The sequence below is a fragment of the Homo sapiens genome, chromosome 7 (genome assembly GCF_000001405.40).
Source record: "Homo sapiens chromosome 7, GRCh38.p14 Primary Assembly".
In the NCBI taxonomy this organism is placed as follows: Eukaryota; Metazoa; Chordata; class Mammalia; order Primates; family Hominidae; genus Homo; species Homo sapiens.
Genome location: NC_000007.14, coordinates 73,491,828 through 73,508,891, shown reverse-complemented (window position 1 = coordinate 73,508,891; position 17,064 = coordinate 73,491,828). Strand labels below are relative to the sequence as shown.

The 17,064-nt window shown below is 43.7% G+C and overlaps 1 protein-coding gene and 1 pseudogene across 3 annotated transcripts in view; one reads left to right on the top strand and one right to left on the bottom strand.

The window, feature by feature from the left end:
- The window catches only part of BAZ1B (bromodomain adjacent to zinc finger domain 1B), an 81,888-nt gene that overhangs the window by 13,402 nt on the left and 51,422 nt on the right, over positions 1–17,064 (top strand). For all 3 annotated transcript variants that reach the window (NM_032408.4, NM_001370402.1, XM_047421016.1), the window contains exons 3-5: positions 421–565; positions 10,194–10,395; positions 15,971–16,092. In NM_032408.4, coding sequence (NP_115784.1) covers positions 421–565; positions 10,194–10,395; positions 15,971–16,092 — 469 coding nt within the window. The remainder of the gene's footprint in view (positions 1–420; positions 566–10,193; positions 10,396–15,970; positions 16,093–17,064) is intronic.
- Positions 1,618–1,684, bottom strand: RNU6-1198P (RNA, U6 small nuclear 1198, pseudogene; annotated as a pseudogene).

Below are 17,064 nucleotides of genomic sequence, written 5' to 3'. Positions count from 1 at the left end.
ATAGGCACCAGCCACCATGGCCGGCTAATTTTTTATATTTTTAGTAGAGATGGGGTTTCATCGTGTTAGCCAGGATGGTCTTGATCTCCTGACCTCGTGATCCACCCGCCTCGGCCTCCCAAAGTGCTGGGAATACAGGCGTGAGCCACCGCGCCCTGCCCAAAAGTTAAGTCTTAAAAGAGGTTAGGTGCAGTGGTGCATGCCTGTGGTCCCAGCTACCTGAGAGGTAGGAGGATTGTTCGAGCCCAGGAGGTGGAGGCTAGTGAGCTATGATTGTGCCACTGCACTCCAGCCTTGGTGACAGAGCGATAAATGTTTGAAATGTTTGGAAAAGAAAGAAAGAAATGTTTGAATTGACTTGAATTAAATCTCTGGGTAGGTGTTTCTGTGTTTTCTTGATAACTAATTACATTTATTTAGTTTGAAGGAGGAGTTTCCTGCCTGGTATGAGAAGCTTGTTCTGGAAATGGTTCACCATAACACAGCCTCCTTAGAGAAGTTAGTAGATACTGCTTGGTTGGAGATCATGACCAAATATGCTGTGGGAGAAGAGTGTGACTTCGAGGTGAGTGCCTGTTCGTTTCTGATTTGACTTACCATCAGAATTAGAGCTGTCATCGTAGGTTACAGAACACATTTCTATGTGTGTAAAACTGTGTTATATTTAGTATTATATTTAATGTTAAGTATTAATACTTTACGTTAATACTTGTGTGTTTTCTTGGTTTTGTTTTTTTGAGATGGAGTCTCACTCTGTCGCCAAGGCTGGAGTGCAGTGCGCAATCTTGGCTCACTGCAACCTCATTCTCCCGTGTTCAAGTGATTCTCCCACCTCAGCCTTCTGAGTAGCTGGGACTACAGGTGTGCACCACCACGCCCGGCTAGTTTTTTGTATTTTTGGTAGAGACAGGGTTTCACCATTTTGGCCAGGCTGGTCTCAAACTCCTGACTTCAGATGATCCACCCACCTTGGCCTCCCATCAATTATTATAAGGACTAAATTTTATTTTTATTTATTTGTTTAGAGACAGGGTTTTGTTCTGTCACAGAGTCTAGAGTGCAGTGGTGCAGTCATAGCTCACTGTATGTAGCCTTGGACTCCCTGGCTTAAGCCGTCCGCCCACCTCAGCCTTCTGAGTAGCTGGGACTGCAGGCATGTGCCATCACTCTTGGCCTTGAACCAAATTTTAGAACCACATTCATCACTGAGAATGTTTTAGTATTGTAATAATTGCAACACTTTGTTGTACTGGTCTGTCCTTTGTCTTTTTCATCCTTTTTTGATAATTCTGTTATTTTGTCTTTTTGGTTTTGATTTTTCTTTTCTTTTTTTATTTTTCGGAGACAGGGTCTTAGTCTGTCATCCATGCTGGAATAGTGCAGTTTCGCGATCTTGGCTCATTGCAACCTCTACCTCCTGGGCTCAAGCGATCCTCTCATGTCACCCTCCATGTAGCTGGGACCACAGGTGTGCGCCACCATGCCTGACTAATTTTTTGTATGTTTTGTAGAGATGGGATTTCACCATGTTGCCCCAGCTGGTCTCTAACTCCTAAACTATTCTCTTGGCCTTCCAAAGTGCTGGGATTACAGGCATGAACCACTGTGCCCAACCCATGCAATGACCATGCTAATCTTCTCCATATTATTCCAGTTTCATTATATGTGCTGACAAAGTGAGCACATAATTGTTACTATGTTGAAAAGACTTGCAGGCCGGGCGTGGTAGCTCACACCTGTAATCCCAGCACTCTGGGAGGCTGAGGCAGGTGGATCACGAGTTCAGGAGATCGAGACCATCCTGGCTAACACGGTGAAACCCCATCTCTACTAAAAATATAAAAAATTAGCCGGCCGTGGTGGCGGGCGCCTGTAGTCCCAGCTACTCGGGAGGCTGAGGCAGGAGAATGGCGTGAATCTGGGAGGCGGAGGTTGCAGTGAGCCGAGATCGTGCCACTGCACTCCAGCCTGGGGGACAGAGCAAGACTCCATCTCAAAAAAAAAAAAAAAGACTTTAAGACTTTTTTTTTTTTTTTCTTTGAGGTGGAGTCTCGCTCTTGTCGCCTAGGCTGGAGTGCAATGGCGTGATCTCGGCTCACTGCAACCTCCGCCTCCCTGGTTCAAGTGATTCTCCTGCCTCAGCCTCCCGAGTAGCTGGGACTACAGGCGCCTGCCACCATGCCCTGCTAATTTTTTATTTTTGGTAGAGACGGGTTCTCTCCATGTTGGTCAGGCTGGTCTTGAACTCTCGACCTCGGGTGATATGCCTACTTCAGCCTCCCAGAGTTGGGATTACAGGCGTGAGTCACTGCGCCCGGCCTCAGACATGTTTAATCCAAGTCCTCGCTGTAATGAGAGTTGGACTTTTTCTACTTAAATTTTTTTTTTTTTTTAAGATGGAGTCTCGCTCTGTTGCCTAGGCTGGAGTGCAGTGGCATGATCTCAGCTCACTGCAAGATTCGCCTCCTGGGTTCACGCCATTCTCCTGCCTCAGCCTCCCGAGTAGCTGGGACTACAGGTGCCCACCACCACCCCCGGCTAATTTTTTTGTATTTTTAATAGAGACGGGGTTTCACTGTGTTAGCCAGGATGGTCTCAATCTCCAGACCTTGTGATCCACCTGTCTCGGCCTCCCAGAGTGCTGGGATTACAGGCATGAGCCAGTGCGCCCGGCCTTATTTGTTTTTTAATTATCCAGTCAAAATAGCTAAAGGATAACTATTACAAAAGTGATACCGAACACTAAAGCAATCCCTGTATAATCTTGTAACAGCTGAAAGTAAGATTCAGGAGAAAAAACTAAACAGTTGTTAAATATCTATCTGTATGTACTTGACACTGGGCTAATTGCTTTACATAATGTCTTGCAGAATTTGCACGGAAATCTTGAAGTGGTAGGTAGCCTTGTACATTTAAATGACATGTTGAGGTTGATACATACTAGTTATGAGTGCTTTCAGCCGTTATGTAGCGAAATTGTAATAATAGTCCGTAGTTCTCAAACTTTGGTGTGATACTTAAGCTACTGAAAATGCGTTCTTGGCTGGGCATGGTGGCTCAGGCCTGTAGTACCAGCACTTTGGGAGACCAAGGTGGGCAGATCACCTGAGGTCAGGAGTTTGAGACCAGCCTGGCCAACATGGCGATACCCTATCTCTCCAAAAAATACAAAAATTAGCCAGGTATGGTGGTGCATGCCTGTAGTCCCAGCTACTCGGGAGGCCGAAGTGGGAGAATTGCTTGAACTGTTTTTTTTTTTTCCCTCTCAGGACAAATGTTTAATTTGCTTCTCCATCATGCTTGAACTGTTCTTCAGCCCATTCCTTGAGAGTTCAGAAGGTCTAGGATAGACCTAACATTTTTCAGTTCTAACAGTCTGCAGGGTGGTAGTGATGCTGTTACATGAGGTACAACACTTTAGTAGTACTGGCTTAAACAAGACAGACGTGATTATCTCATGTAGTAAGTCTTAGATAGTTCCAAGTTTGGTATAGAGGCTGAATACTATTGTCAAGACCTAGACTTTCTCTGTCTTTCTGTTCTGTTCTTCTCAGTGTGTTGAGTTCTGGTCCTTAGCTTTGCTGTCCCCTGAGTTGTGAAAAAATGTGACTGTATTCAGAGTGAGGGAATACTTATCAAAGCAGGCTAAGAAAATCTTTCCAGAAGCATATCTGGAAAAATCTTTCTTGAAGCATAAAATAGAAAGCTCCACCCTTTATCTTTACATGTTATTGGCTAGACCTTGGCTTACATAACCACCCAGAGCTGCAGCGGGGGCTGAGAAAGAGAGTATCTTCCTTTGTATTTAAGTCTCAAAAGAGACAGGCTGGCAAGAGAGAAGAGGGAGGGAATAGCTTGGTAGCTAGCTCAGCAGCAGTTTGTGCTACAATAGCCAGTACTTGATGGGGCCAAGATTCACACCTGTCTCTCTGGTTTCAAAGTTCTTGTTCTTTCTTTGTTTCAATAATTTACTCTGACTCCTTTCTATCTCCTAGCTAGTTCTTTTTTATTTGTCATGTCTGGCAGTACTAGTGGGGTTTTTGTTTCTTTGTTTGTTTTTTATTGAGACAGGGTCTTGCTGTGTCTTCCAGACTGGAGTGCAGTGGTGTGATCATAGCTCACTGCAGCCTCAGCCTCCCAGGCTCAAGCAGTCCTCCCACCTCAGCCTCCCGAGTAGCTGGGACTGTAGACACTCAAAACCATGCCTAGCTAAGTTTTTTTTTCTTTTGAGACAGAGTCTCGCTCTGTCGCCCAGGCTGGAGTCCGGTGGCGCGATCTCGGCTCGTTGCAAGCTCCGCCTCCCGGGTTCATACCATTCTCCTGCCTCAGCCTCCCAAGTAGCTGGGACTACAGGCACCTGCCACCATGCCTCGCTAATTTTTTTGTATTTTTAGTAGGGACGGGGTTTCACCGTATTAGCCAGGATGGTCTCGATCTCCTGACCTCGTGATCCACCCGCCTCGGCCTCCCAGAGTGCTGGGATTACAGATGTGAGCCACCACGCCTGGCCGCCTAGCTAAGTTTTTTATTTTTTATAGAGAAACAGGGTCTTGCCATGTTGTCCAGGCTGGTTTCAGACTCCTGGACTTGCATGATCCTCCCACCTTGGCCTGGCAAAATGCTGAGATTACAGGCATGAATCACTGTGGCTGACCATTAGTGGGTTCTAATCACATACTTTATATCAGTCAGTGTCCTGGCAGGAAACAGATGGCATACTCAAATGTAATTGAATTGAGTTTAATAAAGGGGCTGTTGACAGCAGACAGCAGTCTGATCAGGGTTAAGGAAAACTTAACAAGGAAAGGTTGAGTGCCTCATACCTATCAGCAGTTGGGGAAGACTTTATCATTTCTAAACCCCAAGGAAGCAGAGGGAGGGAGTGGGTACAGGAACTAGAAAAGAGTAGCTGCTGTTGTTGAAGAGTACTATGGTAGTGAGAGAAAACTGTAACTGTAACCATCCTCCTAGGGAGGCATTTGGAAATAAACACCCCAAGGATGCTTTACTTCCATCTCCTGGTTTTCTGCTCATGCTCCCTATGAACTGAACTCACCAGAATCTAGAGGGCAAGGGGAGTCTTGGTGGAGGCTGTAAAGGTCAGCCTATTTAAGCATAGAGCCAGGTAGAGAAGGATGGAAATGGAATTGACATGGCAAAACGAAAATATTTTGCACACATCTGCAAGGTGAAAGAAGAAATGTTTGAGGAAAGATGGGCTGAACCCAATGGCTCCTGCCTGTAATCCCAGTACTTTGGGAGGCTGAGGCGGGAGGTTGGCTTGAAGCTAGGAGTTTGAGACCAGCCTGGGCAACATAGGGAGACCCTGTTTCTACAAAAAATAATAAAAATTGGCCGTGCATGGTGGTGCATTTCTGTAGTCCCAGCTACTTGGAAGACAGGCAAGAGGATCGCTTGAACTCAGGAGTTCAAGGCTGCAGTGAGCTATGATCGCACCACTGTACTCCAGCCTGGGCAACATAGCAAGACCCTGTCTCAAAAACAAAAAAAAGAGGAAAGGGAAGAGATACTAGGGAAGTATGTATGTCCATAAACATGAAAATATGTTTAAACTCATCAATAATGCAGGAAATCTAATCGAAACCATAGTGAGATAATGTATACACATCAGATTAATAAAGAAAAAAACTTGCTGCCAAGTTTTGACAGGAATGTGGAATTGCTTATAGTGTAAATAGCACATATATTTTGGAAAGCACTCGGCATTGCTGAATACAATTGGTTATTATACATACCCTTTGACTAAGGATTTTTGCTTGAGTATTTACCCTCAGTTTTGCCGCAGGAAATCTGTGTAAGTATATTAATAGAATTGTTCATAGTAGTCCAATGAGGAGATAACCCAGGTAGCCATCAGTAGTTGAATGGATAAACAAATTGTTAAGCCACACAATACTCTATAGCAGAAAAAATGTGAACTTGAAAGAAGTCGCAGAAGAATACAGTATGATTACATTTATAGAAGGCTCAAAGCAGGCAAAACTAACTCAGAATGTTTGTTATCACTGTCAGGAGGAGAGGAGAGAGTTGTTTCCACCTGTGCGTAGGCTTACTGGGAGATTCTGAGGTACTGTTAATATTCTTTTCTTTTTTGAGACAGGGTCTGGCTCTGTCGCCTAGGCTGGAGTGCAGAGGCACAACCTTGGCTTACTGCAACCTCCACTTCCCAGGCTCAAGCCATCCTCCCACCTCAATCTCCCAAGTAGCTGGGACTGTAGCTATAATGCCTGGCTAATTGTATTTTTTTTTTTTTTCCTCATCCTACAGTCCAAAGGCACTGGCTAATTTTTGTATTTTTTGTAGAGATGGGGTTTCACCAAGTTGCCAAGGCTGTTCTTGAACTCCTGAGCTCAAGCAGTCCTCCTGCTTTGGCCTCCCAAAGTGTTGGGATTGCAGGTGTGAGCCACTGGGTCTGGCCACTATTAATGTTAAGTATTTTAACCTGTATGGTGGGTACACAGGTGTTCATTATTTATAAAAATGTTTTGCACTCTAAGTGTGATAAAAAAAAAAGTAGATATGATGGACATTGGAAGCGTGCCACAAACATTGTCCCAATATAGAGGGGTTTATCCCAGATATTTATTGATGACCGGCTATGTAGATAGCATGTTTTGGGTGCTGGAAAAACAGTAGTGACCAAAATCCACAGTTGTTTCTGTGTGTTTAGCATTGGTGATGAGGCCAGGTGCGGTGGCTCACACCTGTAATCCCAGCACTTTGGGAGGCCGAGGCAGGCAGATCACGAGGTCAGGAGTTCAAGACCAGCCTGGCCAACATAGTGAAACCCTGTCTCTACTAAAAATACAAAAATTAGCCAGGCATGGTGGCGCGTGCCTGTAGTCCCAGCTACTTGGAAGGCTGAGACAGGAGAATTGCTTGAACCCAGGAGGTGGAGGTTGTAGTGAGCCAAGATTGCACCACTGCACTCCAGCCTAGGTGACAGAGTGAGATTCCGTCTCAAAAAAAAAAAAAAAAAAAAATTCTTGATAAGAACTATGAAAGAAAAGCACAGAGTATTTATTAAAGTTTATAATCAGGGGAATCTAGCTTAGAACCAGAATTGGTGTTGATCCAGTAAAGCTCCTCTGAGGAGGCAACATTTAAGGTGAAGCCTGTAGGTTGAGTAGGATATATCCATGGGAGAAGGGGGCATTGAGTATTTCAGGGAGAGAGAACAGGGTGTGTGAAGGCCTTTAGACAGAAGGGAACTTGATGGTCAGGAACGGGGTTTCTCAACGTTGGCATTACAAACTTTAGGACAGATGATTCTAGTGGGTGCTGTCCTGTGCATTGTAGGGTATTCAGCAGCATACCTGGCCTCTATCCACTAGATGCCAGTAGCACCCTCTCAGCTGTGAAAATCAGACATTGCCATATGTCTCGGGGAAAGAAAGGAAAAGAGGTATGACATAATTACCCCTGTACTGTACTGGGAAAACCATTGTACTGGAAGAACAGAGAAAAATCAGTGTGGTTGGACTACAGAAGGAGGGAGGATGGTGGGAATGGTAGTATCAGGTAGCCAAGGGCTAGATCTTGTACAGGTTGTCAAAGGTTAGGTCATGGTTTGAAATCTGTTGTTTTTGTTTTTGTTTTGTTTTGTTTTGTTTTGAGGCGGAGTTTCATTCTTGTTACCCAGGCTGGAGTGCAATGGCGTGATCTTGGCTCACCGCAACCTCCGCATCCCAGGTTCAAGCGATTCTCCTGTCTCAGCCTCCCGAGCAGCTGGGATTACAGGCATGCGCCACCACACCCAGCTAATTTTGTATTTTTAGTAGAGACGGGGCTTCTCCATGTTGGTCAGGCTGGTCTCGAACTCCCGACCTCAGGTGATCCGCCTGCCTGGGCCTCCCAAAGCGCTGGGATTACAGGTGTGAGCCACTGCGCCCGGCCTTGAACTCTGTTGTTTTTGGTTTTGGATTTATCATAAGGGTTGCTTTGCAAAAATGGTTTGAACTCTGTTTTTTTTTTTTTTTTATAAACAGAGTTTTGCTTGTTGCCCAGGCTGGAGTGCAATGGCGCGATCTCGGCTCACTGCAACTTCCACCTCCCGGGTTCAACTGATTCTCCTGCCTCAGCTGCCTGAATAGCTGGGATTACAGGTGCCCGCCACCATGCCCAGCTACTTTTTGTATTTTTAGTAGAGACGAAGTTTCACCATGTTGGACAGGCTGGTCTCAAACTCCTGACTTCAGGTGACCCACCCACTTCAGCCTCCCAAAGTGCTGGGATTACAGGCATGAGCCACTGTGCCCGGCTTGGTTTGAACTCTTAATGAGCATTGGAAAAGCTTTGTAGAGTTTTTTTATTTTTATTTTTATTTTGTGAGATAAGGTCTCGCTGTGTTGCCCAAGCTTGAGTGCGGTGCACAATCATAACTCCCTTCTTCTTCAACGTCCCAGGCTCAAGTGATCCCCTTACCTCAGCCTCCCTAGTAGCTGGAATCACTGGCATGCACCACATCCTCGCCTGGCAAATTTTTTTGTGTTTTTTGTAGAGATGAGGTTTCACCATGTTACCCAGGCTGGTCTTGAACTCCTGGGCTCAAGCAGTCCACCCACCTTGGCCTCCCAAAGTGCTGGGACTACAGCCATGAGCCACCATGCCTGGCCAGTGTTTTTGTTTTCTTAACAGTATTTTTTGAAGAGCAGTTTTTAGTTTTGTTGAGGCTGAATAGAAAAGCAAATAAACCTTAAATATATCTATAATTATATTAAACATAAGTAATCTAAACATTTCAATTAAAGGGTAGACATTGACCAGGTGTGGTGTGTGCCTGTAGTCCCAGCTACTTAGGAGGCTGAGGCGAGAGAATTGCTTGAGCCCAGAAGTTCAAGGCCAGACTCGGCAACATAACAAAAATCTCATTTCTTTAAAACAATAACAGAACAGTAGAAATACTCATTTTGGGCAGAAAAAGCAAGACCAAATGGTATTGCTGTGTATAAGAGAGAAACACATAGAATAAAAGTGAAAGAATGGAAAAATACATGCCATGTTAACATAAGTCAAAAGAAATCTGAAGGGGCTATGTAAGTATCAGAGGATAGATTTCAGATTAAAGAATATAACCAGGGATAAAGAAGTAGCAAGTCATTTTATAATGAAAAAAATGAGTCAGTTTGTCAAGAGGACATAGCAGTGGTTCGCAGCCCTCTAATGCCCCAAGATAGGGTCTCACCCTGTCACCTAGGCCGGAGTGTGGTGGCACTGTCATAGCTTACTGCAGCCTCAAAAACCTGGGCTCAAGCGATCTTCCTGCCTCAGCCTCCTCCGTAGTTAAGACTATGGGAACACGCCATCATGCTTGGCTAATTTTATTTTATTTTGTAAAGATGGGGTCTCCCTATATTGCCCAGGCTAGCCTCAAATTCCTGGGTCTGGCCGGGCATGGTGGCTCATGCCTGTAATCCTGGCCCTACACAGTTGATTTTTGATAGAGGTGGAAAGGTAATTAAGTAGAGAAAGGTGTTATTTCAACAAATGGTTCTGGAACATTTGTATATCCATATACAGTTGATTTCTTTTTTTTAAAATGTAGGCCAGGCACCGTGGCTCACGCCTGTAATCCCAGCCCTTTGGGAGGCTGAGACAAGCAGATCAGTTGAGGTCAGGAGTTTGAGATCAGCCTGGCAAACATGGTGAAACCTCGTCTCTACTAAAAATACAAAAATTAGCCTGGCACGATGGTGCGTGCCTATAGTCCCAGCTACTCCGGAGGCTGAGGCAGGTTAGAATGGCTTGAACCCAGGAAGCGGAGGTTGCAGTGAGCCGAGATCATACCACTGCACTTCAGCCTGGGTGACAGAGAGAGACTGTGTCTCAAAAAAAAAATAATAATAAGTAAATACATACAAAAATGTAAATTCTTGAACTGTATTCACATATTTTAGGCTGGTACAGTGATTGCCCTTTGGCCTTGTATATTGGCATTTTACATGAATCATGAACCTAGATTGTGATCATTTATTTCATTTTTTTAGGCTGTCATATTTCAACCTAGAAGTCTGAGAAAAAAAGTTGAAAACACTTCATTGTACTTGGATACTTTACTGTTTCAATCACCTTTTGTTAGTTGAGGAGGCATGTATATTGGATGATATGTTCTAAACATCTTCAGGTTTCTGGGTGTTTATTATCTCTGATTTTCTCTACTACCTCCTTTATAGGTTGGGAAGGAGAAAATGCTCAAGGTGAAGATTGTGAAGATTCATCCTTTGGAGAAAGTGGATGAAGAGGCCACTGAGAAGAAATCTGATGGTGCCTGTGATTCTCCATCAAGTGACAAAGAGAACTCCAGTCAGATTGCTCAGGACCATCAGAAGAAGGAGACAGTTGTGAAAGAGGATGAAGGAAGGAGAGAGAGTATTAGTATGTTTGATATTAGCTTTCCTTAGTGTTTTATGAGATCCTGTTTATTTTATTATGAACACATCTTTTAGGGTTCTCTAGCAACTAAATGTGTGATTTTTTATGTAGACATGATTTTGTTCATTTATGATTCATAGAACAACTAAAATGTCCACAACATGAAACACTTGAATATCCCTAAATAATTAAGACCATTGGGAAGTCGTTTCCTCTAGTTGCTTAGAAAGCTCTATGCAGGGCTGGGTGCCGTGGCTCATGCCTGTAATCCCAGCACTTTGGGAGGCTGAGGAGGGTGGATCATCTGAGGTCAAGAGTTCGAGACCAGCCTGGTCAACATGGTGAAACCCTGTCTCTACTAAAAATACAAAAATTAGCGGCTTGTGGTGGTGGGTGCCTATAATCCCAGCTACTCGGGAAGCTGAGGCAGGAGAATCGCTTGAACCCAGGAGGTGGAGTTTGCAGTGAACTGAGATCGCACCATTGCACTCTAGTCTGTGCCACAAGAGCAGGGCCACAAAAACAAAACTCCATCTCAAAAAAAAAAAAACAAAACACAAAAGCTGTGTGCACATTGCTAGCTACTCAAGATGGCAAGGAAAGTCTGCTTTCCTTTCGTCTTGAAGTGGAAATATGTATTTATGTATTGGGGGGTGATCAAGGTAGGAAGAGCAAATTCTAACCCTGATCTTCACATTATAAGCCAATGTGATGGTTTTAGGTACAGCTCACCCTTGAACAACATAGGTTTGAACTGTACAGGTCCACATATGAATGGAATTTTTCTTTTTCTTTTTTTTATGGCACTTAACCCATCTCTCAATATTTTTTCAATGAATGTATTGGAAAATTCTTTGGAGGCTTGTGACAGTTTGAAGAAACTCAGAGACGAACTGAGTAACCTAGAAATATTGTAAAAAAAGAACAAAGAGTTAGGTATGTCATAAATGCATAAAATACATGTAGATACTAGTCTATCATTTGCTACCATAAAATATATACAGAAATCTATTATAAAAAGTTAAAATTTATCAAAACTTACACAGACCATACCTGGCACCATTCTCAGTCAAGAAAAATATGAAGATTCAGTATTAAATAATAACAATAAAATGAACTGTAGTACGTACTATACTACTGTAATCATTTCCTAATGACCTCCTGTTGCTGTTGAAGTGACCTCAGTCATTTTATGTGATGCTAGTTCATCTCTCTAGTAAAGTGCTAATTGTCCTAGTGTCCTTTTTTGGCTTTTCATAGATAAGGTCTTGCTCTGTCACCCAGGCTGGAGTGCAGTGGTACGATCATGGCTCACTGCAGCCTCGACATTCCTGGCCGAAGCGATCCTGCCACCTCAGCTTCCCAAGTAGCTGGGACCGTAGGCATGCACCACCACACCCAGCTAATTTTTGTAGGTTTTTTTTTTTTTTTTTTGTAGAGGTCAGTTCTCACGATGTTGTTCAGGCTGGTCTTGTACTCGTGAGTTCAAGCGATCCTCCTGCCTTGACCTCTTTTTTTTGAAACAGGGTCTTACTCTGTTGCCCCCAGGCTGGAGTGGAGTGTTGTGATGACAGCTTAGTGCAGCCTGGACCTCCTTGTGGCCTCGGCCTCATGCTGAATTACAGGTATGACGCACTGTGCCTGGCTGTATACACAGGTTTTTGACTGCGAGAGGAGGAGAGGTCAGAGCCCTAACCCCCATGCTGTTCAAGGGTCAGTTGCACTTTTTTCTCTCCATAATCTGTAATCTAAGTCCCTCTCACACGGGAGCAGGTAAAATCCTGAAACTATGATGTCCTAGGGACCTGGAGACTCTAACAATAATGTTTTTAAATTTGAACAATTGAGATTTGGCTCACTGGGAAGACCGTTCAGCCTCTGAGGCCTTCATTAATAAAGAATTTGACTGGACTTGATTATTGTTGTCTCCAAAAATGTAGGTGCACCAAGTGTTTGGTGTGTATTGGTCTCCCTCCGCATGAGTATTAGAGGATCAAATGTTAGCTTACTATTTAACTGGTACAAACTTTGCATTAGAATGTGATGTTGTCTGTCTCCCATTCTATTTTGTGTGTCTAGATGTTTTGGATCTGTGCAGATGGTTTTTGAGGTACTTTCTTAATGTAGTTCGAAGCAAACTTCTGAGAGTGTCATTGTAGTTGGTCCATCCCAAGTTGTTGATACTTCAGTTTGTTTTCTCCTGTATTGTGAATGCTAACGTCTGTATTTTCCAGTTTCCCTCTTCTTTTTGATACTGAAGTTTTGTAATAAGGGCATTACTTGCAATTCCTTGAGGTTGAGAAGTGTTTTGGTTAGGAATATTCTCTCTGCTTTCCGAACATCAGTTTTATTGTGGTCTTACTTCTGCCTCTATATTCCTGAAATAGTTCCTATTAAGTTTACAAGTGTCCTCTTAATTGTCAAAAGCAGAGATTTCTTCTTGGCCTGTGTTGGACTTTTCTGTTATATTTATTAATATTTATTTATTTTTTAACGTTTAAGTTCAAGGGTAGAAGTGCAGGGTTGTTGCATAGGTAAACTTGTGTCATAGGGCTTGGTTGCATAGATTAATTATTTCATCACCCAAGTGTTAAGCCTAGTACCCATTAGTTGTTTTTCTTTAAAAGGCCTGAGTGTGTGTTGTTCCCCTCTATGTGTCCATGTGTTCTCATCATTTAGCTCCCACTTACAAGTGAGAACATGCAGTATTTGGTTTTCTGTTCCTGTGTTAGTTTGCAAGGATAATAGCCTCCAGCTTCATTCATGTCGCTGCAAAGGACATGATCTCATTCTTTTTTATGGCTGCATAGTATTCCATGGTGTATGTGTACCACATTTTCTTTCTTGTGTCCATTGTTGGCATTTAAGTTGATTCTGTGTCTTTGCTATTGTGAATAGTGCTGTATCTGTTACATTTAATACTGTTGGTCACTCATATCTCTTAGCTTGATACCACTGTCTCCTAGTGCTCCAGCTATTCGGTTTCTTTACTTCCTTCCTTCCCTGCCATTCCTTTGACTTTTTCCATAGGATTCTATTCTTTGCCTTCTGTTTTTCAGTTTGCATAGTGTAATGTTATATGCTATTCATGGCACAGTTTGAATTCTTAACTGTTTGTAGCCTGGTGATTTCCAAGCCTGGGTCAGACTTTTAACTGTAGACTTGATCTTTACTTGCCTGTCCTATATGCAATTTATTTATTTATTTATTTATTTTTGAGACGGAGTCTCGCTCTGTCACCCAGGCTGGAGCGCAGTGGCACGATCTTGGCTCACTGCAACCTTCGCCTCATGGGTTCAAGTGATTCTCCTGCTTCAGCCTCCCCAGTAACTGGGACTATGGGAGCACGCTACCACAACCAGCTAATTTTGTATTTTTAGTAGAGACGGGGTTTCACCATGCTGGCCAGGCTGGTCTCGAACTCTGGACCTCAGGTGATCTGCCCACCTTGGCCTCCCAAAGTGCTGGAATTACAGGCGTGAGTCACCACGCCTGGCCCCTCCTTTATGCAGTTTAGATTCAACATGTGTAAAGCTGAATTGACTTCACTCTTCTTGTATCCCAAGGCAGGTAAACAAGAATTGTTCTCTCATTCTTTTACTTGGCTCACCGTCCATCCACCTAGTGTCTAAGGCAGAAAAGTTAAAATACCTTTAACATTCTCACGTCTAGTTGGTCACGAACTGGAAGAATTTTGACTCTCTTTCCTTCTGTATTACAGTTACATTAGTTCAGATGTTTGTTTATTTTTGAGACAGGGTCTTGCTCTGTTGTCTAGGCTGGTGTGCAGTGGTGTGATCATAGCTCATTGCAGCCTCAACCTCCCAGGCTCAAGTGATCCTCCTGCCTCAGCCTCCTGAGTAGCTGGGACCACACGTGTGCATCACAACACCTTTCTAATTTTTTTTGTTTGTTTGTTTAGAGACAGGGTCTCACCATGTGGCTAAGGCTTGATTTAAACTCCTGGGCTCAAGCAGTCTCCCCACCTCAGCCTCCCAGAGTTCTGGGATTACCTGTGTGAGCCTGTGTGCCCAGCCTAATTCAGATGTTTAGCATTGTATCTTCCAATTTCCTTATCTTCAGTATCAACTTTCCATTTTATGTTCGTCTTCTTTTTGAGACAGAGTCTCGCTCTGTTGCCCAGGCTGGAGTGCAGTGGCATGATCTCGGCTCACTGCAACCTCCACCTCCCGGGTTCAAGCAATTCTTCTGCCTCAGCCTCCCGAGTAGCTGGGATTACAGGCACGTGCCACCATGCCCAGCTAATTTTTTCTATTTTTTGTAGAGACAGGGTTTCACCATGCTGGCCAGGCTGGTCTCGAATTCTTGAGCTCAAGTGATCCTTCTGCCTTGGCTCCTCAAAGTGCTGGGATTACAGGCACGAGCCACTGTGATGGGCCCCATTTTATATTGATCTTTCCAAAATGCACCGTAGTTAGTTACAGCCACAGTCTGTCATTGGTTCTCTAGTGCTAGCAAGACAAATTCTAATCTCTTTAAATGGTATACAAGGCCCTTTCTAATATGGCCCTGGCTTACCTTTTTGAATTTTTTTCACTGTAGTATACATCATATTTAACCACACCTTATTGCTTGCAATCTGCAATCTCTGAACAGGTCATATCGTATTCTCTCTCTCTCTCTTTTTTTTTTTTTTTTTGGAGACAGGGTTTCACTCTGTCTCTTAGTGTGGAGTGCAGTCGCAAGATCAGGGCTCACTGCAGCCCTGACCTCCCAGGCTCAAGCCATCCTACCCTAGCCGCCCAAGTTGCTGTGACTACAGGCATGTGCCACCACACCTGGCTAATTTTTTGTATTTTTTATAGAGACAGGGTTTCACCATGTTGCCCAGGCTGGTCTCGAACTCCTGGACTCAGGGGATCTGCCTGCCTTGGCCTCCCAAAGTGCTGGGATTACAGGCGTGAACTACCACACCTGGCCCAAGTCATATTCTTACTCATCTTTCTACCTACCTTCCAGACTAAGTTAGGTATTCCTTCTCTGTATTCTCATAGTATTTTTCTTTTCTTTTCTTTTTTTGAGACGGAGTCTTGCTCTGTTGCCCAGGCTGGAGTGCAATGGCGTGATCTTGGCTCACTGCAACCTCTGCCTCCCGGGTTCAAGTGATTCTCCTACCTCAGCCTCCCGAGTAGCTGGGATTATAGGGATGCACCACCAAGCCCGGCTAATTTTGTATTTTTAGTAGAGATGGAGTTTCTCCATGTTGGTCAGGCTGGTCTCGAACTCCCGACCTCAGGTGATCCGCCTCCCTCAGCCTCCCAAAGTGCTGGGATTGCAGGCGTGAGCCACCACGCCCGGCCTCTCATAGTGTTTTTCTTTACCAACTTCTATTACACTGTTTACTACATTGTAGTTATTTATAGTACATTGTAGTTATTTACTTGCTGACTCTCCTCATAGACTTTAGCTCCTTGAAGTTAAGGACATTATGATTCATTTTTGTACTGCATCACCCAGTGCCTAGTGAAGAGCAGACGTTCAGTTAAGACTTGTTAATGAATGAATGAAAAGGATTAAAATAATTACGTTTTTCACTAATTTTCTATGATTTGACTAGATGACAGAGCACGTAGATCGCCACGAAAACTTCCTACTTCATTAAAAAAAGGAGAAAGGAAATGGGCTCCTCCAAAATTTCTGCCTCACAAATATGATGTGAAACTACAAAATGAAGATAAGGTTAGTTGACACTTTACTTTTTACATGTGATAGATGTTCTTTAAGAAAATATCATAGGGTTGCTTTTGTTGGAGAAAATGTGCTGAAGAAAAATGTAAATGAATGTACAGCAGATTCTGAGTGGTTTTGTAGTTACAGTAATTAATGACTTCAAGTTAATGTAAATTATATTTTCTTTCCTAGAAGATACCATGCTTTTCCTCTTTCTTATAGGAATTAGTAGAGTGTAAGTAATTTACATTTGAGCTTGAAATTCAGTTTGAAAATTAAGAATCTGTTCCCAGCAGTTATGGACTTTCCAAGGAAATCACTCTTCCCAGTTAAAAGTAGAGCAGTCAGGCCGGGCGTGGTGGCTCACGCCTGTAATCCCAGTACTTTGGGAGGCCGAGGTGGGCGGATCATGAGGTCAGGAGATCGAGACCATCCCGGCTAACATGGTGAAACCACATCTCTACTAAAAATACAAAAAATTAGCCGGGCGTGGTGGCGGGCGCATGTAGTCCCAGCTACTCAGGAGGCTGAGGCAGGAGAATGGCATGAACCTGGGAGGCGGAGCTTGCAGTGAGTGGAGATCACGCCACTGCACTCCAGCCTGGGCGATAGAGCAAGATTCCTTCTCAAAAAACAAAACAAAAAAAAATTTGCCAGGTGTGGTGGCGCACGCCTATAATCCCAGCTACTCAGGAGGCTGAGGCAGGAGACTCGCTTGAACCTGGGAGGCGGAGGTTGCAGTGAGTTGAGATTGCGCCCCTGCACTCCAGCCTGGGCAACATAGAGCGAGACTCCGTCTCAAAAAAAAAAAAAAAAAAAAAAGCGTTTTGCTGATTGGAACTAAGATTCTAAGAAATATGGAATGTTACTTTTCAGGTATTCCTACACCACCTGTATGTGCAGAATCTTAGAAAGGTGGATTAGGAGACTGGGTGTGGAAGGCAATGCACATTTGTCTTCAGGTATAACCATTTTACAGAA